This window comes from Homo sapiens, chromosome 6, assembly GCF_000001405.40.
Source record: "Homo sapiens chromosome 6, GRCh38.p14 Primary Assembly".
NCBI classification, from domain to species: Eukaryota; Metazoa; Chordata; class Mammalia; order Primates; family Hominidae; genus Homo; species Homo sapiens.
This window is the reverse complement of record NC_000006.12, coordinates 149286325-149311292: the sequence shown is the minus strand read 5'-3', so window position 1 is coordinate 149311292 and position 24968 is coordinate 149286325. Positions and strand designations below refer to the sequence as shown.

At 38.6% G+C, this 24968-nt stretch overlaps 1 protein-coding gene and 2 pseudogenes across 1 annotated transcript in view; 1 reads left to right on the top strand and 2 right to left on the bottom strand.

Moving 5' to 3' along the window:
- The window catches only part of TAB2 (TGF-beta activated kinase 1 (MAP3K7) binding protein 2), a 193682-nt gene that overhangs the window by 100315 nt on the left and 68399 nt on the right, over positions 1–24968 (bottom strand). The window lies entirely within an intron of this gene.
- FABP12P1 (fatty acid binding protein 12 pseudogene 1) lies at positions 6865–7186 on the top strand (annotated as a pseudogene).
- Positions 19598–19941, bottom strand: RN7SL234P (RNA, 7SL, cytoplasmic 234, pseudogene; annotated as a pseudogene).

Genomic DNA, 24968 nt, shown 5'->3' with positions numbered 1-24968 from the left:
GGGCATTTCAGGTGTCTGTGATAGCTGGAGAAAAGACCAGAGAGTCAGAAAAGATAGAGCATATTTAGGGAACATGAAGTAGCTGATTTTGCAGAACTGTAGGAAAAATGTAGGATAGTGGTGGGAGACAAGACGAAGCAGGTAGCAATGTGAACTAAATTTGGAAGGTGGAGGTATACCATTCAAGTTTAGTGAACGATGGAACGTAATTAGATCATAATTAGATCTATGCTTGATCTACCCTCAATTCAGGTGGAGAAGGAAGAGAGAGAAAGTAGGGAGACCATGGAGTCAGTCATCACTCGGCAAAGGTATGGGGAACGCAAACACACTTGTGGCAATAAAAGGGAGTGAGAAGCAAGATCAATTTCCATGGTAGATTTTTCCTTTTTATCACTTTAGACAAATGAAGGAAAATAGGGGGTGAGGGAGAAAGGTATCAAAGAAGACTATGTGATTTTGAGACTGAATAATGGAGAATTGTTATTCTATTAACAAAAACGGTGAAGTAACGTAGAGATATTGCTTTTGATGGGAATAATGAGTTAGATTTTTTCATGTATTGAATAATAATTTTAGTTCTCCTGGGGGCCTTCTTGAGCCTTCTCTGTCATTCAGATGTAAAAGGATGAGAGGCCAAACTTACAGAGAATGCAAATGATCAATCAACATACAAAAGACTTCAGTCTCATTGGTAATCATGTAAATGCAATTTTAAAAAAAATATATATATTATTTTCCAGCCTATTACATAAGGTTGAGAAAACAAATTAGACAAACTACTCAGAAATAAATTTAAGAAAAATATAGGATTTGTAAGAAGAAATCTAAAAAGTCTATTGAAAGACAAAGAAAGCTGGAGATAAACAGAAATAACATATACTTGAATAGAAAGTTTTAATATTTTAAAAATGAAAATTGCCCCCACATTTACGTTTTTTGTTTTTGTTTTTGTTTTGAGATGGGGTCTCACTCTCACCCAAGCTGGAGTGCAGTGGCATGATCTCCCTTCACTGCAACCTCTGCCTCCCAGGCTCAAGCGATCCTCCCACCTTAGCCTCCTGAGTAGCTGGGACCACAGGTGGCATGCTATCAGGCCTGGCTAATTTTTTTGTATTTGTGGTAGAGATGGGGTTTCACCATATTGCCCAGACTGTTCCTCAAACTCCTGGGCTCAAGCAGTCGGCCCATCTCCCGCCTCCTAAATTGCCGGGATTTCAGGCATGAGGCACTGCGCCCCACTCCATGATTATAAACTTAACTCAGTCACAATCAAAAGTTGACAAAATGAGTTTAAAAGCACCTGGATATTTTATTAACTGAAATAAAATAACCAGGTTGCAGAACAATGTGTATAGCATGCTATGATTGCTGTAAAGAAAGGAAAAATCACACACACACACACACACCCACACCCACACACACACACAGTGTGTCCTGGGAAGGGAAATGGGAAACTAAAGGAGAGAGGGACATCTCATTTCATCCCCTTTCCTATTTCTGAGTTTGAAAATGTAAACACATTATATATCAAAATTAATGAAATCAATGAAGAAGAATAGCTAGACCATTTTTTTTTTAAAGAGGAATAATTGAGGGCAGGCGTGGTGGCTCACGCCTGTAATCCCAGCACTTTGGGAGGCCAAGGTGGGTGGATCACGAGGTCAGGAGATCCAGACCATCCTGGCTAACACGGTGAAACCCCGTCTCTACTAAAAATACAAAAAAATTAGCCGGGCGTGGTGGCGGGCGCCTGTAGTCCCAGCTACTCGGGAGGCTGAGGCAGGAGAAAGGTGTGAACCTGGGAGGTGGAGCTTGCGGTGAGCGGAGATTGTGCCACTGCACTCCAGCCTGGGTGACAGAGCCTCTGTCTCAAAAAAAAAAAAAAAGAGGAATTATTGGTGTTGGGGTGGGGAGGCATTGGTATGACATACTTGACCACACAAAAGACTTGTTACAAGGATTAAATGAATGAACATATGTAAAGGGTTTGCAAAAGTATATGTAAAGCATATGTAAAACAGCATATATAAAGGCTTTGCACATGAAGTATCACATAAATAGTTGTTGCTATGATTGTCATAATCTTGATATGTGAAGTATATGACTTAAATATCATCTATCACGAAGGAATATATCGATTTTTACTACATGAAGTTTAAAAACTTTTGGAAGGGAAAAAATAAAAAAATAAGATGAAACACAGAAAACGGGGAAAATAAACTTAGAACATATATGATGAGCAAGGTCAGTCATTCCATATATTTTTTTTTATTATCTATCCTGGGTCAGGCATTACACTAGAGGCTGGCTATGTATACGGTGATTAAGAAGATGGTCTGGCCCTCATGGAACTTATAGTCTACAGAAACTAAGAGTTAATATTCTTAATATGCAAAAGGTTATTAAAAATCCTAAGGGAGAAAAACCCCACAAGGCACAGAGAATTTTTTAAAAAGAAAATATCGGCCGGACGTGGTGGCTCACCCCTGTAATCCTAGCACTTTGGGAGGCTGAGGTGGACGAATCATGATGTCAGGAGTTCAAGACCATCCTGGTCAACGTGGTGAAACCCTCTCTCTACTAAAAATACAAAATTAGTCAGGCGTGGTGGCACATGCCTGTAATCCCAGCTACTCGGGAGGCTGAGGCAGGAGAATCACTTGAACCTGGGAGGCGGAGGTTACGGTGAGCCTGAGATTGTGCCACTGCACTCCAGCCTGGGTGACAGAGTGAGACTCCATCTCAAAAATAAATAAATAAATAAATAAGTAAATAAATAAATAAATAAATAGAAAATATCACTAATGGTTAAAAAATAGGAAAATAAATTCAATCTCTATAGTCAATTTCACTCTAACAAAACTAATAAGATACATTTCTTTCTTCGTTTGTTTATTAATGGCAAAGATTTTTTAAAAAAGCCAAACTCCAGTGTTGGCATGGTGGAGACAGAGGCATTCTTGTATCCTGGGAGTGGGAGTATAATCAGTGTACGCTTCCTGCAAGGCTGTTTGACAACATGTATTGGAATTTTAAATATGCAAACTGTTTGACCTCTTCCACTCCTAGGAATAAATAACTAGATGTACATTTGAAGATGTGTGTCAAAGGATGCTTACCTCAACCTTCCTTATAATAGTAAAAAAATAGAAAACAACCGTAATACATCTTACTAAGTAATGAGTTAAATTATGGTGCATTGGTACAATAAAATAAGATGTAGTGGTTAAAAAGAATGTAGATCTATATACATTGACATGAAAAGATGTCATAATATAATATTACAGGAAGGAGGTAGATTTCTTGACATTGTCAAAAATACTATGATCCCATTTTAAAAATGTGGGTGTTTGTCTGAATGTGGGTATGTATAGAAAAAAGTCTGGAAAGATAGATTCTAAAACATAACAGAGTGCTTTGGGGTGGTAAAATTAGGAGAGATCTTTGTTTTATTCTTTGTACCTTTTTGGTGGTATTTTCTGAATTTTTAGCAATGACTAGATTACTAATATGTCAAAATAAAATTATTCAAAATTGTTCCTTAAATATTTCTGAAAAACTCTTTGGGAATAACTTTGGTTTAACCAAAGCCATGATAACTGAAATTTTTATTATTCGGACTCAGGTTTTCACATTCATATTTTTTCCTGTCCTAAGTCAGTAGGGAAACCTTTGTAAATAATAAAATATTTCAAGAATTTGGAACAAAATGACAATCACAGAGTACTGACCTCATTTCCACAACGGTTAAAAGTATTGAAGAAAAAGAAATCTTGAGAGGGCAGCAGACAAAAAAATCTGAGCAGCATTGACCTCTGTGAAATCGGCTCCTTGGCAGGGGTGGGGGTGTGGTGGAACGGAAGATAAATGAGGATTTCACGTCTTCCTTGGTTTGTTATTGGCCTTATTGTTCCCCAAACTTCATAAATTTCCCCAAATAGTAGGCTTTAGGGTGCAAGAGAACTACTCCCCTTGTCCATGTCACTCTTCTCCCATCTTGGTTGAATTTCATCTTATTTGCCTTGTTATCTGGACATAGAGTTCTTGGCTTTGCAACTTGTGCTAAGGTGGCAGAAAAATTTCCCAATTCAACCCAGTCTTTTGTGAGACTCGGGGGCCTAATGCTGACCATATTTGCAACGGAATTGTTCTATGACTCACAACACTACCCATCCATGAACAGACAACAAGGATGTCTCAGCCCCAGATCTTGGGGCTGGAGGAGGGGCAGCCTTTGGGGACTGTGGGGTGATTGTAAGGAATCTGTGATTTCATATAGGTCCCAAGTTTAGAAAACAAAATCGACAAAAAGACAATTACTGTTATGTGGGGGCCAACATTTTGAAACACAGGTTAAAAAGGAGTTCTTATTTTCAAAAGTTTACAAACTACAAATTAAGAAAATAAACTGTATGGTCTTTCCTGTATTTGTATCTCTGTACATGCAGTTTCCCTCTCCCCATCCCCACCCACAACTTTCCTGCCCTGCTGAACCCAGCAGGGGCAGGATGCCCAGCACACAGCAAGTTTTCTTTTTTGAGACGAAGTCTTATTCTGTCGCCCAGGCTGGAGTTCAGTGGTGTGATTTCTGCTCACTGCAACCTCTGCCTCCCGGGTTCAAGCGATTCTCCTGCCTCAGCTTTCCAAGTAGCTGGGACTACAGGGCTGCGCCACTACACCCGGCTAATTTGTGTGTGTGTTTTTTTTTGTTTTTTGTTTTTTTTTTTTTTTTGAGACGGAGTCTTGCTCTGTCGCCTGGGCTGGAGTGCAGTGGCGCGATCTTGGCTCACTGCAAGCTCCGCCTCCTGGTTCACTAGAATGAGGCCATTCTTCTGCCTCAGCCTCCCGAGTAGCTGGGACTACAGGTGCCCGCCACCACACCCTGCTAATTTTTTATATTTTTTATATTTTTTAGTGGAGACGGGGTTTCACCGTGTTAGCCAGGATGGTCTCGATCTCCTGACCTTGTGATCAGCCCACCTCAGCCTCCCAAAGTGCTGGGATTACAGGCGTGAGCCACCGCACCCGGCCAATTTTTGTATTTTTAGTAGAGATGGGGTTTTGCCGTGTTGGCCAGGCTGGTCTCGAACTCTTGACCTCAAGTGACTCTCCTGCCTTGGCCTCCCAAAGTGCTGGGATTACAGGCATGAGCTACCATGCCTGGCCACATAGCAAGTTTTCAACAAGACTGTTTAGTCCAAATTGTATAGCCCTGTATAACAGCCCACCCACTTCTTTCCCTTCATCTTATTTCTCTTAGAACAAAATTCACACATGAATTACAGAAAAAGGGAACCAAACTGATTGTGGTGGTACTTAAAGGTGGGTGAAGGAGAGGCGTTGGTCATCTTCATGTTCCTAGGCCTCATTATTGCTTTACTGACTAGAAGAATTCACAAAATTTTCTAAACATTTCTTTTCCAAAACAAATGTGGAAATGCTTGCTATTGTAAAATGGAAAACCTTATGCATTCTGAAGAACTTTATAATCATAAGTCTGTGTATCTGAATTGGAGGAAAAAATGACATGTGAAGGAAACATTTGTAGACTCCAGTTTCAGCTACTATAGCATTTCTTTAAATAAAAGTGAAAAGAATATTACCTCAGATTTATGAATAACTGCTTTGTCTATGTTACTCTCAAAATCAGCATTTCACCAAAGAACTTTGTGTTCTATTGTTTTTTTTTTTCTTTGAACTACTTTTCTTTCCATGTGATAATGTCAGGATTTTTAGTTTCTAACAACTCGTCTATTAACAGCAAAGAACAGGCAGGACATTTGAGATAAGGAAGTAATTAGGAGGTGCTTTTATGTGTTTAATGGTTCCTGAGTCTGAACAGTCTTGTGAGATTTGGACAGGGCCCTTTGAAAAAGGAAACGTATTCAAAGTGACAAACTAATGCAGGATTTCGATTTTAAGCTTGTGGTGAGCCCAGTAACATAGGTTCATGTAGCAGAATTTGACATTAGATTATGTTAATAAGGCACACTCCTACCCCAACTCTATCCCATTTATACTAATAATCAATATATCAGGCAGGCATACGAACAGGAAGAAAGACATTCTATCCATGACAAAACAATTTAAAACATTTTCTGAGTGATGTTTCCAAACTTGGAAAGACCGCAGTACAGTCGGCTCTCTGTATCTGTGGGTTCCACATCCACAGATCCAACCAATTGTAGATGGAAAATATATAATAACAATAACAATAACAAAACAATAAAAAGTAACAATATAATAATAAAAACTAATACAAGTAAAAATACAGTAGGTAGCATTTACGTTGTATTTGGTATCATAAATCATAGATTATAAATAATCTAGAGATGATTAAAGTATATGAGAAGTATAAATAATCTAGAGATGATTAAAGTATATGAGAAGATGTGTGTGATATGAAGATACTATGTCATTTTATATAAGGGACTTGAGCATTTGAGGATTTTGGTATGCATGGGGACTGGAGGTGGAGGTATTCTTGGAACCAATCCTCCCAGGATACTGTGGGAGGACTGTACTAAGCCACTTTTAAACAAGTGATTCTAGTCCTTTAGATAAAATGAGAGGCAATCCTGATAATGGTGTACCTATGCTGTTTTCCATAGAGAAATCAGATGTGTGTTGCGTATTTGTAAAGCCAACTGCTTTGTGAAGTGAAGGCAGAGTGTCGGGACCTAGGCTTTTGCTGTTGTGTCTGCCATTTCTTCTGTTTTTACCCATCAGTATAGGACCTGCTCCATAACATGTCTTCGTCTGGTGAGCCCGGACATGTCCCACTTCTGAAACTCCAGAAACAGAGCTGATCCAATTAAAGCAGGCACTTTCAGATGGAGTTCACAGACTTTTGTTACTGAAGGAATAGGGAGAGCCAGCAGGAAACTGGCTGCCTGGCAAAACCCATGGTGACCATCAGTAGAAATGGAGATGTGATCACTATAAAAATGAAAAGCATCTTTAAAAATAATGAGATTGCTTTTAAACCTAGAAAAGTGTGAGGAAACCACACCAGGTGGCCATAAAATCAAGAGTACCATAACCTTAGATAATGACTCCCTGATTCAGGTTCAGGACTGGGATCACAAGGAGACCTCATTGGGAGAAAGTTGGTGGGTGAGAAGATGGGGGTGGAAAGTGCCGTGAGCAATATTACCTGTGCTCAGATATAGGGGAGAGAATGAACAAATTCAGTCTCAAACTCCTAAGGACTCCTAAGCTGTGATCCAAACTGCAGAGGTTGTTTAAACAAAATTTGAAATTAGAAAGAAAGTTTCCAGTTCCTTCATTGTCTAGCTGAAATGCCACCTCTGCACTCCCTCTTCTCAGTCCTCCAGACACATGCTCTCTTTTCATCTTTTGAACCTTCAGCACTGGCTTTGCGCCTCCCTCAAGGCACTCACCACTCATTGCCATTTAGATCCCCACTTTCCTGACTTCACTGATTCACCTTTACCTTTCCATCTGCCATTGCTCCTTGCACAGGACCTCGTCCATAGTAGGCATAGCAAATATTTCAGTGAAGAAGTAAATGAATATATTGATTCTTTAAACAGTCCAGTAAAATGCAAAGTTAGGTACAAATAAATCTGTTGTGGATTGAACAAAATCAATACATGTAAAAGTTTACTTTTTTATTGCACAATAGTACATATTTATTGTAGAACTTTAAGAAAATACAGGCAAGTAAAAAATTACCTATAATTATTCTATCAAGAGAAAGCCACTCTTCTGTATTTTCTTCTATTTGTAAACATACATAGATTTATGTATGTTTATATTTATATATATAAATACATAATGTGAACACACACACATACATTTTTCCAACCAAAATATAATAATGGGGTATCCTGCTTTGCAGCCTGTGTTATTTCAGCTTCTCTGACTAGCAGACATCAAGACATGATTAGATGCAACGGTCCTCAACATTTTTAGCACTAGGGACCGGTTTTGTGGAAGACAGTTTTTCCACAGACTATGGGACAGTGGAAAGGATGGTTTTGGGATGATTCAAAAGCATTGCATTTATTGTGCCAAGGCCACAAGAGCATTACATTTATTTCTATTATTATTGCATTGTAATATATAATGAAATAATTATACATCTCACCATAATGTAGAATCAATGGGAGCCCTTAGCTTGTTTTTCTGTAAGTAGACAGTCTCTCATCAACCCTAGATAATCCTGTCTGGGGTTGATGGGAGATAGTGACAGATCATAAGGCATTAGATTCTCATAAGGAGCACACAACCTAGATCCCCTGCATGCGCAGTTCACAATAGGGTTCGTGCTCCTATAAGAATTTAATGCTACCACTGACCTGACAGGAGGCAGAGCTCAGGAGGTAATAGGAGCAATGGAGAATGGCTGTAAATACAGATGAAGCTTCACTGGCTCACCTGCTGCTCACTTCCTGCTGTGTGGCCCAGTTCCTAACAGCCTCCAGACCAGTACTGGCCCGTGGCCTGGGAGTTGGGGACCCTGCTGATAAGATATGAATCTGTGAAAGAAAGTGGGGAGAGGCTGGGAGATAGATAGATAGATATGACCCCAAGTGAAGCAAAGAAAGATGGGAAGGTGAGTGGTAATATCCTAGACTGCCATGTAGTGCAGAGAAAGTTCAGCAAGACCTTGAGGAGTACTTTAGTAGAAGAGCTGGGAGACGTGGACTCCTCCATCATCAGAAGAGTCTACAATTCCCATGAAGGAGACTGCAATAGTAACTCTATCAGGTTCAATCACTGTGGCCTTGGCATGAATGCAGAGACAGATTTTCGGAGAACAGCAGCAGAGGCCTTTGGGCAATTATACTCCCTGTAGTTGGAAGTGCACTACCAATTAACTACCTTTTATTAGGGCCATCTTTCCAAGCCATAAAATATTCATATATAGGGTTTCAATAAATATTTATGCTTCAAAAATATACATAGATATTTTAGAAAACCTGGAAAATGAACTGAAAGAAGATAAAATTTATAAGTAAGTCTAAGTCTAGAATTACCCACTGTTAACATTTCGATATATGCCTTTTCAGGTTAAAGTGCATATATGTAATGTTATATGCTTATATATTTGTATAAATACAAAATATAAATACATATATATGTTCATAATTTTCTAGCATTTGGGAAAATGACAGTGTCTGCTCTTTAGTCTATCTTGGACATATTTTTGAATACCTATATGAAACAGAACAGGCTGTAAGTTTGTAGAAGCTGATTGAGAGATTTTTAACATATACAATGATAAGACATTGTATCTGCCGAAGTGATTTTCTGCTTGGATTTTTGGAGATAGGCTTAATTTTATAATAACTCTTCACCGAAGTTATTTTACAAATTGTATATATAGTTTTGTATTAAATGATATAAGAATTTAATGAGCAAACGTGCCATAATCTTTCAAAGTTTACTTCTATTTTCCAAAGTAGTAGCTTAGTGACTAACTCAAGAGCTTTATAAAAGTGATTTATTTTGAAATTATAAAAATAAGATTTTAAAGGTTGTAACATGTTCAGTAAATAGTGTTTGTTGAAAAGTAGTGGTTAAATACATGGAGCTCTTAGTCACAATGCACACGACTAAAGAAGAAATGTTATGTGGAAACATTCAAATGAAGATACAGTTCTTGTAGTATGAAACAACTTTTACATAAATGAAACAAACAAAAAGATTTGAAAATGTGAACTGGTATTCATTGAGTTAGCACCTACAAGGATGGGTTCATATTTCTCCCCACTATGCTTTCTTGATGAATGTATATGTGTAATGTACAGAAATGACCATTTCATTCTCTTATTAACTTCCTGCTGGCCTTCACTTTAAGAAATTTTTATAGTTGAAAATGTAATCTATATATGAAGGCTTCAACAACCTCAATACATAGGTAAGATGATAATTCCCTTAATACTCCAGTTTATAATGGCCCCAAGCACCCACTGCTTAACTGGCAGGCTTTCCAACTTTCTTCTAGCATTGTTGTAGTTCCCCTGTTACTGTCTGCTGGTGGACAGAGAATTCAAATGTCCCTTGAGGCTAAATTTGGTAACTGCTGGCTTCTCATTGTGCCTTCTGGTTTTGGTTGTCCTAAGTGCAAGGGATTTGTCCCTGGTAATGTTCAGTGGTTGCTGACCACCCTGCCAAGAGCTTCTACTCTCTTACAGAGATGTGGCTCCAGCCATCCCAATGTGGACCTCTGCCTGTTAGCCTAGTTCATGATAATTCCAAGTGTGAGAAGGAAGATGGCCTCTTGTCATCATCCAAATTCTACCAGGTTTCTCCCACAGCAAGACTCCCCAAGCTCTGAATGGCATAGCACCTGATATAGCAATTTCAATTTGCATATAGGTTCATTTTTGCCAAGTTGAATCCAATACGCTTGAGTAGCTGAGTCAGGATTCTCTCTTTCCAGGAAGCAGGATGCAGAGACTAGGATACTTTAATTCCATGATTTAGGTCTTGAAGCTAAGAACTAATGGTATGGACTCCTTTCACCCCCCCAGTGCTCTCCTGGCCTTCTGCCAACTCTTCCCTGCCATTGCCTCCTTAGGATGAATTTCCTCAGTCTGACATTGGGTCTTTCTTTTAACCACAGTGGAAGGTGTGTGTTGGGGAAGAGGGTGAAGGTGGGGTAAAAGATGGTTCCTAACCAATGACTGACAAAAGTTTATGCTGCATAACACTAAGCTATGCTCAAGGATTAACACTGAATCAGGAAAAGGCTGAAGGAAAGAGAATGATCCAGAAGAGTAATTTTCAGTCCAATATTGAATTTTAAAATACCTCACAGAATCGTGTAATTTTACAACTGGAAGGGATTTTAAAGACTTTTTCATCCAACTCCCTTATTTTATCTGTGCAGAAACTGATGTGACTTGCTCAAGGTCAGAGTTATTGACAGAACCAGCTCTATAACCAAAATTATCTGACCCTGTCAACCTCGCACCCACAATTCAGCAAACACATCTTATTGATCAAAACCACTCTGTTGTATTCTTACTTTTATTAGAATCAAACATACAAACAAGAGCTTTAAAATTTTTTAAAATCAGAATAACTGTTAACAATGTATAGATATTTTAGGATGGATCCCTTACCTGGATTCACCAGGATTACAGGGGTCTATTTTTAGTTTTCCATCTTCCTAGTCCTATACAAGATACTGTTCCTATATCGTTAATACATAGAGACAAAAATTCTTCAAAAATAGGAAGAAAAAAGGTATATTTCTACCTTTAGCCAGAAGCTTTTATCTAGCAACATTTAAAAAAAAATTTCTTTTTTAGAGACAGGTTCTAGTTCTGTTGCCCAGAGTGCAGTGGCACAATCATAGCTCGTTGTAACCTCAAATTCCTGGGCTCAAGTGATCCTCCTGCTTCAACCTCCAGAGTAGCTGGGGCTACAGGTACGAACCGCCATGCCGGCTAAGTTAAAAAAAAAAAAAAATTGTAGAACTGTGCTATGTTGCCCAGGCCAGTCTCGAACTCCTAGTCTCAAGTGATTCTCCTGCCCCCGCCTCCCAGTGTTGGGATTACAGGTGTGAGCCCTGCCCCTGGTGTAGTAAAAACTTTATCTAGTTTATCTAGCTTTATTTAGCTTCATTTTAATCTAATAAATACTTGAGTACAGGATAGAATAGGTTTGCCCTAATTTATACCACATTATCAGGTGTATTCACTTTCTTTCTGATGTGAATTATTATTGTTATTATTTTTTGACACAGAGTCTTTCTCTGTCACTCAGGCTGGAGTGCAGTAGAGCGATCTCAGCTCACTGCAGCCTCCCCCTCCTGGGTTCAAGTGATTCTCTTGCCTCAGCGTCCTGAGTAGCTGGGACTACAGGCCTGCACCACCACGCCTGGCTAATTTTTGTGTTTTTAGTAGAGACTGAGTTTCACCATGTTGGCCAGGCTGGTTTTGATCTCCCAGCCTCAAGTGATCTGCCTGCCTCAGCCTCCCAAAGTGCTGGGATTACGGGCGTGAGCCATTGCACCCGGCCTCTGATGTGAATTATAACGGCTGCTGATAAGACCAGTGGCCAATAGACACTAATGTAATTACTATAGTCTCATGACCAGAATTAAACATTTCAAGCCAATGCTATACCATGAAAATTTTCTACTAAAATCAGGCAGATTCTTAACACAGTTTTTCTCTTCCACTCTAATACTTTCATTTTCTGCTATATATGAAATATATAAAACGGTTAATAGTTGTGCAGTCAAGGAAGAAAAATAACTCCCATATTCATTTAGCATGAAAAGTTTCTTTAAGCAAATCCCCAGTCAGAAGTTAGGATTGATAGTAATAATAGAGATAAGCATGTTTTTAATTCAAAATTAACATAAGCAGAAGGAATGTACTTTGCCAGTTATGGAATTAATCCCTCTAGCTGAGATTATCTTCAAAATTTTCAAACAGGTTCTGTCAAGTGGGAGAATATAATATCATTTTATAGAATTAATGTCTGAAATAAGAAAAATTAACGTTTCTTTGTGCGTGTGCATGTGTGTGTGTCTTAGATTTTGTAAAATATCTTCCACATTCTAATTCTTTGTTAGAATAAAGAGTAAATACTATAATCTCCAATTTATAAATGAGAAAAACCTGAAGCTCAAAAGGTTAAATGACTGTTTTAGGTTACAGGTGTAGTAAATAGTGGAGTCTTTTTTTGTTGTTGTTGAGACAGGGTCTCTCTCTGTCATTGTGGTGTGATTACCGCAGCCTTGACCTCCCGGGATCAAGCAAGTCTCCCACCTCAGCCTCCGGGGTAGCTAGGGCTGCAGGTGTGCACTACCACGCCTGGTTAAGTTTTTGTATTTTTTGTAGAAATGGGGTCTCCCTATATTGGCCAGGCTGGTCTCAAACTCCAGGCTCAAGCCATTGCCCACCTTGGCTTCCCCAAGTGCTGGAATTACACGTGGCTGAGCCATGGGCTGGGCCAATAGTGGAGTCTTGATTTGAAATAATGTTTTCTGATTTTATTTTTATTTTTTCTTTCTCTTTTTCTTCTAATGATTTAAAAACTATATGTCTTTTCCCAAAGATGCCATTCTGAGGAATAGCATGCATATTTTCATATACCTAGACTAGTGCCACTTTACTACAAAATGCTATTGTAGCTTTGAATATAATCTCCTGAAATCCTTTAAGACTGCTTAATTTTTTTTCAATTAAATTGTGATTTAGTACTAATGGGTTCTTTGAGTATTTTAAGTTGGTGACTCTACTTTTTAGGCAAAACAGACTAAATTTATAATGACATTGTGAAATATAAAGTAATTGTTTTCAGAATTTTCATAATCCAATGTATTGTCCCAGAAAATCAAATATTTTTTAGCAAATAGGGAACCTGCAGTATAATCAGCAAAAATACTAAGCAGAAATATCAATATTTCATGAACATCATAAATTATTTTAAAAAGTGATCCTTCATTAAAACATATATTGGTTTAAGGCCAGGCATAGTAGCTCACACTTGTAATCCCAGCGCTTTGGGAGGCTGAGGTGGGAGGACCACTTGAGGCCAGGAGTTCGAGATCAGCCTGGGCAACATAGTGAGACCCTGTCTCTACAAAAAAATAAAAACAAAAAAAATTATCCAAGTGTAGTGGCATACCCCTATAGTCCTAGCTACTCAGCAGACTGAACCGGGAGGATCATTTGAGGCTAGGAGTTCAAGGATGCAGTGAGCTATGATCATGCCACTGCACTTAGGTTGGTCAATAGAGCAAAACCCAATCTCAAAAAGAGAAAGAAAAGTGTGCATATATATGTATTTAAAAATTACATGAATTGAATATGCTAATTGAAAAAAATTAAAACAATGCAGTAGGGTATGAACTAAAAAGTTTGAGTTCCTCTTCTTACCCAAATCATTATTTGTGTGTATGTATCTTGTCAAATCTGTCTAATCATTCATTTTTAAAATGAGAAGTCATGGATATGACTAAGAAATGAAATGCGTGATCCTTGATTGGATCCTGAATTTAAAATTGATTCTATATTGATAATGGCATTATATCAATATTTACTTTCTTCAGAGTGATAATTGTATTGTGGGTGTAGAAGAACGGCCTTGTTTTTAGAAGATATGTGATAAAGTATTGGGTTGAACTGTCAAGGTGTCCGTGTCTAACCATCAAATGGAGGAGGAAGGGATGGAAAAAGGAAAAGAAGAAGAGAGGGAAGGAAGGAGGGAGGAGGAGAAGAAAGAGAGAGAGAGAGATAGAGAGGATGAATGAGAAAAAGTAACTGTGGAAATTTTACCAATTAGTGAATCTAAGTAAAGAATATCTAGATTTTATTGTGTTATTCTTGAAGCTTCTCTGATGGTCTAAAATTTTTCGAAATAAAAAGAACAAGAGGGAAAAAATAGAAGATATTATAACAATGTGCTATAATGAAAATAGCTATTTGGTGCTAGAAATATCTGTGTTCAATGCCAGGCTACCAATTACTTAATAGTCAGGTGACCTTGGCCTAGCTAGTTAACCTCTGAAGATTTCAGCTTTACCTCCTTAAAATAAAAGTACTATCTACCTTGAAGCATTCTTTTTAAGAATTTAATGAAAGAAGTCCTGACCTACAATATTCTCAATACATATTGGTTCTCCTTTCCTCTGAACTAACACCCATTTTCTTTAATAATAACTTATGTGAGAACTTTCTGTTTACAATAATGTTAATCTAAATTATTCAAATCAATTTCCCCTCTCCTTCCCCCAGCTGAAGACAACTAAAAAGGCTGGATATAACATTTTAAAACATTTCTTGAAATATTGAAGAGATGACAAGACAGTAAGACATTTTTAGGCCAAACATGGAAGGAAAATGAGAACCCACAGAGAAAAGCAAGAAAGAAGTCACTTTTGCATTGACGTCATTTTATAATTCTTTAATATTAGAACCCTCATTTGACAGGCTTGAGGACCTGAAAGACAAAATTCAAAGTCCAGAGCTTGCTCAGAGTGGGGTTTGAACCAGTGATGCCTCTCACAGTAAGCTGAGACTTCAAAGGGCTACAACCTGGGGGTCAACCACAAGCAAGACAACCAGCTCCGTTCAAATCCCCTAGTCAGTTTGAACTGCCTCTGACCCTCACGGGCAGGAGCAAGCACAGATCCTTTCTTGAGCAAAGTTCCTTCACTATAAGCCTCAAATTATTCCTATAAATCCTTTTAAAAATGCATGTGTAATGCATCAAAGATAACCAGGCATGGCCTGGTGCAATGGCTTATGCCTGTAATCCAGCACTTTGGGAGGCCGAGGTGGGCAGATCACGAGGTCAGGAGTTCAAGACAAGCCTGGTCAACATGGTGAAACCCCATTTCTACTAAAAGTACAAAAATTAGCCGGGTGTAGTAGTATGCGCCTGTAGTCCCAGCTGCTCGGGAGGCTGAAGCAGGAGAATTGGTTGAACCGGGAGGCAGAGGTTGCAGTGAGCCGAGATCATGCCACTGCACCCCAGCCTAAGCAACAGAGCAAGACTCTGTCTCAAAAAAGAAGAAGAAAAAAAGATAACCAGGCACAAAGATAAGTATAACAGAGAAGAGTAAATATGACACATTTCAAATAATCAAATGTAACTACCAAAAGCAAATTAAAAGCATAACTGAAAGTTTTGAACTTAGCAGATAGTTTTAACATTAGAGGCAACTAAAGATGAAATCAGTGAACTATAAAGTATATCAGAAGAAATTATCCTGAAAACAACATATAGAAACAATATGAAAGAGGATTATAAACATAAAGGATACTGTGTGAAGATCTAACATAGGTTTAACTGGAGTTCCAGAAGGAGGGGACAGAGACATGGGAAAAGGTAGTATTTGAAGAGATAATGGCTGAGAATTTTCCAGCCATGAAAGATAACAATTCACAGATTACAGATGACCAGTAAATCTCAAACCGGGTAAATTAAACAAAACAAAACAAAACGAAAAACCAAAAAGAAATCCTTACTTAGAACCCACTGTAGTGAAACAGTAGAAAACCAATGACAAAAGAAGTCTTAGTACAGAAAAAAAGACAGATTATCTTCAAAGGAGAGATAATGGGGCCAAGTAAAGGCCTAGATAGCTTCACCGGCAGCTCTACTAAACATTTATGAAAGAAATCAGGTCTCTCACAAATTCTTCCAGAGAATCTTGACCCTGTTTTAGGTGTCCACCATAACCTCCACTCAAGATGAAAACTCTATTCAACTGCGTATGGGAGGTTTTGGCAGTACAGTAAGGTGAGAAGGAGACATAAAAGTAAAATGACTGGAAAGAAGAAATAAAACTGTAATTTACGTGATATGACTGTGTCTTTTTCTTTACCTGTGTGTTATATTTCACACTAAAAGTGTTTTAACAGCCTTATATTTTCATAACATTTTATGGTTTTTCAAGGCACTCTTACAATAATGATCTTATTTGATTGTCACAATTCTGTGAGGAAAACTAAACTTCAGAGAAGTTGAGTCACAAAGCTGGCCAGTGGGAGAATTTGCACCAGAACCCAGGTCTACTGTGCCTTTCCAGTTTGTAGGTATCTTTTTATGGCATTCAATTTAATGATAGTTGTTCATAAAGTAATCCATTTGTTTGGGAACATAATTTACATTATATGATGTGCTATTGGTTATAAAGTGATACAAAACTATACATGACCGTGGAATTAGATAGGAGGAAGAAGCTATAATTTAACCAAAGCAGATGTTTTACTTTGCTTATGAAAAGAGCAGATGCTCAAAGCATATTAGAAGCCATTTATAGCACTGGTGTTATAGGCTAAATTGTGTTCCTCCAAAATTCATAGGTTGAAGTCCTAACCCTCAGTATCTCAGAATGTGACTGTATTTAAAGATACGGTCTTTTCAAAGAAGTAAAGTTAAAATGAGGCCATTAGAATAGACCTTAACCCAATATAATTGGTGTCCTGAGAAGAAAAAATTTGAACACAAATGGGCACAGAGGGAAGACCATGTGAAGATACGGGGAGAAGACGCCATCTACAAGCCAAGGAAGGAGGTCTGGAACACATCCTTTCCTCAAAGCCTTCAGTAGGAACCAATCCTACCAAGACCTTGATCTCAGACTTCCAGCCTCCAGGATTGTGAGAAAATACATTTCTGTTGTTTAAGTGACCCCAGTCTGTGGTACTGTTATGGCATCCCTAGCAAACTAACATAGCTACTGACTAAAACAAAATAAAGGCCATTACTCTCTAGCAAAGTCAGATATAATCAGATACTGGATTTATACAGCAATTCTTAGGGTTTTTTTTAGCTCTTCACTTATAACTTTAAAAATCTTCTATTAATTTTTTTTCAGGGAAAATAACTTTGCTACTGAGTGTTTGATACTCTCTAGTCTCTATCTGCCTTTTCACCATTGAAACAAATTTTTTATAACATTATATATTGGATCAATTGAGGTTTCATAGTAATTAAATTATTATGTTATAGCAGAATAGCTGCTTCTATGATGGTTCTTTTCATATTATCAGATGATGTAAATGAGGTTGTATTATCTGTGAAGTGATCCAACAACATTTTGGAAGATATCATAAATTTCACTTTAACAGAACATGTTAAACTTACATTTAGGGGGACATTTTTTGAAGAGTTAACATGAATGCTAATTTATTAACTATCTGAAAAGGCACTGGGACCCTGTCATTTATGCCCTTTTCTACCCAGGCTGAATGTACCTGGAACACCTGGTCTTTCATTCATTAAATTCAACATTCCAGCGGAAAATGCTATTGGAATGTGCAAAGATTCAAACAACAAGCCAGGACAGCTGCATCTCAGACCAGTTCTATTTTGAAACCAGAAAACCCATGCAAATAAACAATAGCAACACACATAAGAAGTGAATTAATGACAGCTTACTGGAGATGACTCAAAAAGAGAAAAATTTCAATTGCACTTTCCAGCCTTCTCTCAAGGATAAAAAGAGGTAGATTACTAATCATCCTGAATCAGATGGTAGATTTATATAAAACAAATTTATACTATATTACAGAGAATAAAAAATTTCAGAACATTTTATACTCAATGATTTTTTTCTAAATGAAATAATTCCATTTACACTTCCCCCCACATTTCTCTCTCAACAATTCTAAAAAGAGGAAGAAATCAGAAGTTTTCTAATGTATTGCCATTATTGGGCCCCTCTAACCAAAGGCCTGAAAGTCACGAAGCCTGGCCTGAGAAGGCCATTTCTGGAGTTCTCTCATGGTTGTTTTCACGGGAAGCAAAGCTCAACGGGAAACTCCCAACTTGCCAACATTTCAATCAGGAAAACTAGTGAAGATACGTACCTGGAAAAATTAATTTATTCATCTGGCCAAAGAATTTTAATTCAGTCCTCATATATGGAGTAACAATGAAAAAATTTTATAATTAGATTAGGTTATATGGTACTTTTATTAATGAAAAACAAAGGAATTTAATTAAGATTAAGAACATTAAAGAAATTGGTCATACGGTTAGCTATGAAAAAACTCCCGAGAAAGCTCATTGTTGCTTAACTAAGGTAGAGTATATTAATTTTAGAAACTTCAGGGGTGCTTTTGTTCCAAATCAAAAATATGCTGGATTTCTTTATGTCATTTTTTGACATATGTCATCTTTATGACATTCTATATGTCATTTTTATGCTCCTTAATTTACCTATTTGAATCCTGTCAACAGCATAGTTCAGTGTTTTTTCAAAAATAAAATTTAACGACTGGTTCTTCTTCCATTTAAAACAATTTCTTTCATTCCCTTTTTCAAAGTTTATTTTATTCTCTTTTTCAAAGTAAGGAGAAATTCTAGAAATGCTTGCTGGTGTAGTCTCATTGTTTAAACTTGTTACTTTACAGCCAATCTGTTGCTTACTAATAATTTTAATTGCATCAATCACTCATTCTAAAGCTGTGCTTTTTATCTTGACTTGTTTAGTTCACATGCACTCCTGATTATGAAAGAGTTTTTTTCTGATGCTCCAAGTCACTGGAAAATGAGGGGAGTCAGTTTTTGTTGTAAAATATGTACTAAACCATTTACTCTTTACAGAGCATTGTACTAATCAGAGGCATTATGCCTCTGTCTAGTGAATCAATCTGCTTAACATTCTTATACTTACATTCTGCAAAACCCAGTCCCTGATCACATCTCTGGAAGGCTTCTAAGATTACTCCTTTATGAAGTTTCTCATTTAGGTCTTAATTTGCAAAAATTTTAATGAATGTTCATTGGTATGTTGCTTTATAACTTTTCTAATTATTTAGTTCTTATGATCTGTCTTCATAGCTAGACTATAAACTTTCAAGGGTTGGCACCATGTCTTCTACTATTTATATGACCAGCAACATCACTGTGATTAGTACTCATTCTCCTAGAAATCTAAAATAATGTATATAGTTTCTTTTGTTTGTTTTTTGTTTTTTTAGAGACAGGGTCACACTCTGTCACCCAGGCTGGAGTGCAGTGGTATGATCTTGGCTCACTACAACCTCCACCTCCCCAGTTCAAGTGATTCTCCTGCCTCAGCCACCTGAGTAGCTGGGATTACAGGCACCCACCACCACCCCTGGCTAATTTTTGTATTTTTAGTAGAGACGGGGTTTTGCCATGTTGGCCAGGCTGATCTCGAACTTCCGACCTCAAGTGATCTCCCCGCCTCAGCCTCCCAAAGTGCTGGGATTACAGGCGTGAGCCACTGCACCCAGGCCGGTGTGACAGTTTTGACCTGCTTCATTTCCAGCCTGGGTAGGTTCACCCCTCCTTAGGCAACCTGGTGGTTCTCTGCTCCAGGGAGGTCACCATATGGATGCCAAACTTAGTGCAGACACCTGATCGGTTTAGAGCACTATGGCCCAGATCTCTTGTGCTCAAGCGATCCTCTCACCTTAGCCTCTGGAGTAGCTGGGACTACAGGCAGGCACCACTGTGCCCGGCTTAAAATAATATTTCTACTGATGACATCCAGTCACAGTAAAATTCTGAAGTGTTTTCTGAATAATCAAAGAAAATGTGAACTCTTTCATGTTGTAGTCCAATTTTTTGAAATTCAGCAATCTTGGATTATAAATGTATGTCCTCTTTTTCAGATCCCAGATTATGTTCTCCCCAATCATTCCAAATAAACAAGAGTTCACTATGTGGTGTTCTGCCTAAAGCAGGAACTCAGGGCTTGTGTTTGATTTTAACAAATTGGAACAAAACCCCAAATAGAAGAAAAACTTTTCAATTTACATCCCATTATTTTGTAGTTTGTGATAAACTGTCAAACAGGGAGTAGGCTGAAGTATAACTTTGTTTTAGCTATGAAAATAGGGTTTACCCTGTAAATTTTTAATGTAAAGAAGGTGAAGAAACTGAAATAATTCATTCGTTCAACAGCCAGTTATTTAGCCTCTACTAAATACTATATACTCTTCTTCTTCTTTTTTATTTTTGTTTTTGAGACAGGGTTTCACTCCTGTTGCCCAGGCTGGAGTGCAGTGGCACGATCTTAGCTCACTGCAACCTCTGCCTCCCAGGCTCAAGCCATCCTCCCACCTGAGCCTCCTGAGTAGCTAGGACCACAGGTGTGCCCTACCCCACCTGGCTATTTTTTTGTCTTTTTAGTAGAGACGGGATCTTGCCATGTTGTCCAGGCTGGTCTCAAATTCCTGAGCTCAAGCAATCCACCCACCTTGGCCTCCCAGAGTGCTGGTATTACAGGCGTGAGCCACCATGCCCAGCCTAAATACCACACACTCTTCTAGTCTGTTGGGATATATAGGAAAGCAGAAGGGACAAGGATTTCTGCCTTTGTGGAGTTTACATTCTAGTGAAGTAGAGTGGGGCAGGAAATATAATTAAAAATTAGTAAATCTATAGGATGGTGATAATTGTTATTGAGAAAAACAGGGAAAATAGAGAATGTGCGGGGTGAAGGGTGCAGAGGGTGGTTAGGTATGCATCCTCTGAAAAGATGACATTTGAGCAAAGACCTGCAAGAGCGAGGGATGAGCCATGGGTTCCTGCAAAAGCAGTGTTAAGCCTCTCCACCATCTGAATGGACTTCTCCTCTCAGACAAGGGAATTCCAAAGTTAACCTGAAAAACTAGTTCAGGCCATGGTGGGAAGTGGAAGTTGGACATGCCTCATAGCTGACCAGCATTAACATCAACACAGAGAACTTAAGACTGACAGAACAGGCTCTTTTTAAGTCTAATAAGAAACATGTACAATCTTTTCTCTCTGAAACCTGCTACCTGGAGGCTTCATCTCCATGATAAAATCTTGGTCTCCACAACCCCTTATCATGACCAGACATTCCTTTCTCTTGATTCCAGGTCTTTAGATAATAACCAACTGCCAACCACCTATGACCTGGAACTCCCTGCTGCCACTGTGCCCCCCACGCCCACACCCCACATGTTTCCAGTTGTTCCTTCTTTCCGGACAGAACCAATGTCCATCTTACATGCATTGATTGATGTCTTATGTCTTCCTAAAATGTATAAAACCAAGTTGTAGCCCGACCAACTTAGGCGCATGTTCTCAGGCCCTCCTGAGAGTTGTGTCACAGGCCATTGGTTACTCATATTTGGCTCAGAATAAATCTTTTCAAATATTTTACAGAGTTTGACTTTTTTCATCAACAGCAGTGAGGTGTGTAGTTTCCGGGCATAGGCCCAGCAAGGGGCCCAGTGGCTGGAGTGGACTGGGTGAAGAGAGAGTTGGAAAATGAGGTCAGGTCAGGCAGGACTGTGATTCTCCACGTGGCTGCATGTGGGAAACACCTGTTGAGCTTTTAGAGGCCTCTAGCCCAGGCCCTGACTCACAGTCTCTGGCTTTAAAGGTCTCCCCAGTGATCTATGAGGGACTTTAGGCCATGGTAAGGACTTTGGCCTTTTTTTTTTTTAGAGACAGGGTCTTGCTATGTCACTCAGGCTAGAGTGCAGTGGCATGAACATAGCTCACTATGACCTTGTTCCCCTTGGGCTCAAGCAATCCTCCTGCCCTTGCCTCCCAAAATGCTGGGATTACAGGCATGAGCCACTGCACTCTGCCTGATTTTGCCTTTTATTTTGAGCTAGATGGAGGCCATTGGATGGTTTTGAGCAGATACATGATCTATCTTTTAAAAAGAATCACGTTGACCTGGCATGGTGGCTCACACCTGTAATCTCAGGACTTTGGGAGGCTGAGGCGGGTGGATCACTTGAGGCCAGGAGTTTGAGAGCAGTCTTTCCAACATGGCAAAACCCCATCTCTACTAAAAATACAAAAAATTAGCTGGGCATGGTAGCGTATACCTGTAATCCTAGCTATTCTGGAGGTGGAGGCATGAGAATTGCTTGAACCCAGGCGATGGAGGTTGCAGTGAGCCGAGATTGCACCACTGTACTCCAGCCTGGGAGACAGAGCGAGACTCTGTCTCAAAAAAAAAAAAAAAAAAAAATTAAAAATTAAAAAAAATCACTCTGGTCCTCGTGTTGAGGGGCAAGAGCAGAAGCAGGGAACCCATTGCCTTAAAATAAAGCTATTTGTGTGCAGTCTTACAAAGAACTAATGTTAGTTCAAGTGACTCAGCAGAATATGATTATAAGACATCCTGTAAGTCCTGCTATCAAGTATTGCTTAGTACTTATAAAGTGTATTTCAAGTTCCTTCATGCATAGTACAATTGCAGTATTTGAGAAGTGTTCTGGAGTTAAGCTTTTCACTAATTGGACTTACTTTTTCTGCAGTAGTTGGGGTTGGTGAGGTTTTGGGGAACAAAGAGGAAAAGACCCTTTTCCTGATGTTGTGGCAGTGCCACATCCCTCTCCCTTATCATTCACATCTCAGGGGGCTGGGAGATGGGCAGGACCAGAGAAAAAGGACCTGGTGACAGACAACGGGGCCACAGAGGAGCAATGTCTGCTTGCTGCCGTCTCCTGGAGGGGTGCAGAGTCTACAATGGGGCAGGAGGCCCATAGTCTCTGTGCACTTGTAACTCTGTTCTCTGCTAATTTGCATTGAGATGAATGGACAGGCAGAGGGAACCATGATAACATCTACTCTACTAAGCAGATCCTGGTGTGGGGACTGAGTGACACAAGGACCATTTTACTGGGATATTTGCACCTCAGGTTCGTCATCTGGAGATGATAGTACCATTTTGTAAAGTGTCTTGAGCATTTAGAAGATAGTCCACATATGGTAGTTTGCATAGTACTAGGCCCATAGTAAAGGTTTAACAATATTTACTGTTATCATGCTATTTCTTTATTGCTTATGTGTTTAAAAATTTAACAAATCATAAGCGTAATTTAATTCTTTGCTTAACATAATTTTATGATCGAATTTAAACATTTCACGTTTTTAGGAGTGCATCAAAGCTCCAAATACTATATAGTGAGAAACGATTTAGTGAAGCTTTGCCATATTGAGATTAATGCTTAAGACCTCCTTATAAATAACATGCCCCATGCATAGGTGCTTAGGGCTTTTATTTATGAATCCACTTGAGCAAATGTTCAGCACTAACCTGCCTTTTCCTGAATTTCTCTCCACAGGGAATAGTGATATGTGGCAGTTTAAGAATGCACAATGTCTTTATTTTTAACACATACAAAAAATAAAACTAGGCACAGTACCACATTGAAAACAAGTTCAGTAACAAACTGACTGAGAGCGGCCCTGTGTTTTGTCTGCTGGCTAGGAAGTTAATATATACATCAGCAGTTTGGATTCAAAGAAATGCCTTTACAACAACTTTTAAAAAGCAGAATTCATTGACCATTTGAAAAAGTCACAATTTTCTAATACTTTCTTTTTAAAAAAAAAAACAGAAAACAAAGTTTGCTTGTTATATTCCCTTGTAACTTTATGTGTAGGGGAAGCTTATTATTTCTACCGATTTAATATTTCTGGGAGCATTTCTAGTTCGGGCATAAATGTACACAGTTCAGGGCTTTCTCCAGCTTTATCTATTTGTTTTTCAAACAGTGCTTATTGTTTCTCTATTATAAAAGTAATACATGCTCAATGTAGAAAAACATAAACAAGCAAACAAAACTCACCTATAATCCTTTCACCTGTTGACTCATGTCAATATATTGTTTTGCTTTCAGTCTTTTTTCAGTATACACTTTTTGTGGCTACAGAGTTGAAGGTAAACAATATCTAAATTTTTTTGTTTTTGTTTCGTTTTTGAGATGGAGTCTTGCTCTGTCACTCAGGCTGGAGTGCAGTGGCTCCGTCTCGGCTCACTGCAAACTCTTCCTCCGGAGTTCAAGTGATTCTCCTGTCTGAGCCTCCCGAGTAGCTGAGATTACAGATGCTTACCACCATTCTTGGCTAATTTTTTTATTTTTTAGTAGAAACGGGGTTTTGCCATGTTGGCCAGGCTGGGCTTGAACTCCTGACCTCAGGTGATCCACCCACCTCAGCCTCCCAAAGTGCTGGGATTACAGGTGTGAGCTACCGCGCCCAGCCAATATCTAAATTTTTTAAGTCTCCTTTTTTCCCCTTAATATTATAAGTATTTTCTCGTGCTGCTAATAATTCTTCATTTTTAAGAGCTGCTAAATATGCCAACGTATATTGAAATCATAGCTTGATACTCAGTGAATCCCCTATTGTGATAACTGAGTCTACAGGTTTTGTTATTATAGATAATGCAGTGATGAACGTTTTTGTGCTTAAACCTTCTGTCAGATTATTCCCTCCAGACTGGTTTCTGGAAGATGAATTAATGAGTCAAAGCATCTGAAAGCTTTTAGGGGTTGTGATACATATTGGTAAAGTTCTCTCCAAAAAGTTTGAACCAGTTCGCACCTGTGGAAGTGCTTCAAAAGATGATGGGCTCTCTGGCTTTAATTTTAAAGGGATTTATAAAATGCTTTCCTCATCCTGTTTGAAGAAGCAAAGTAGAATAATATCAAGTATTACCAGTAACCTAGAAAAATTAAATTACCATAAAAAGAAAATAGTTGTCTTAGATC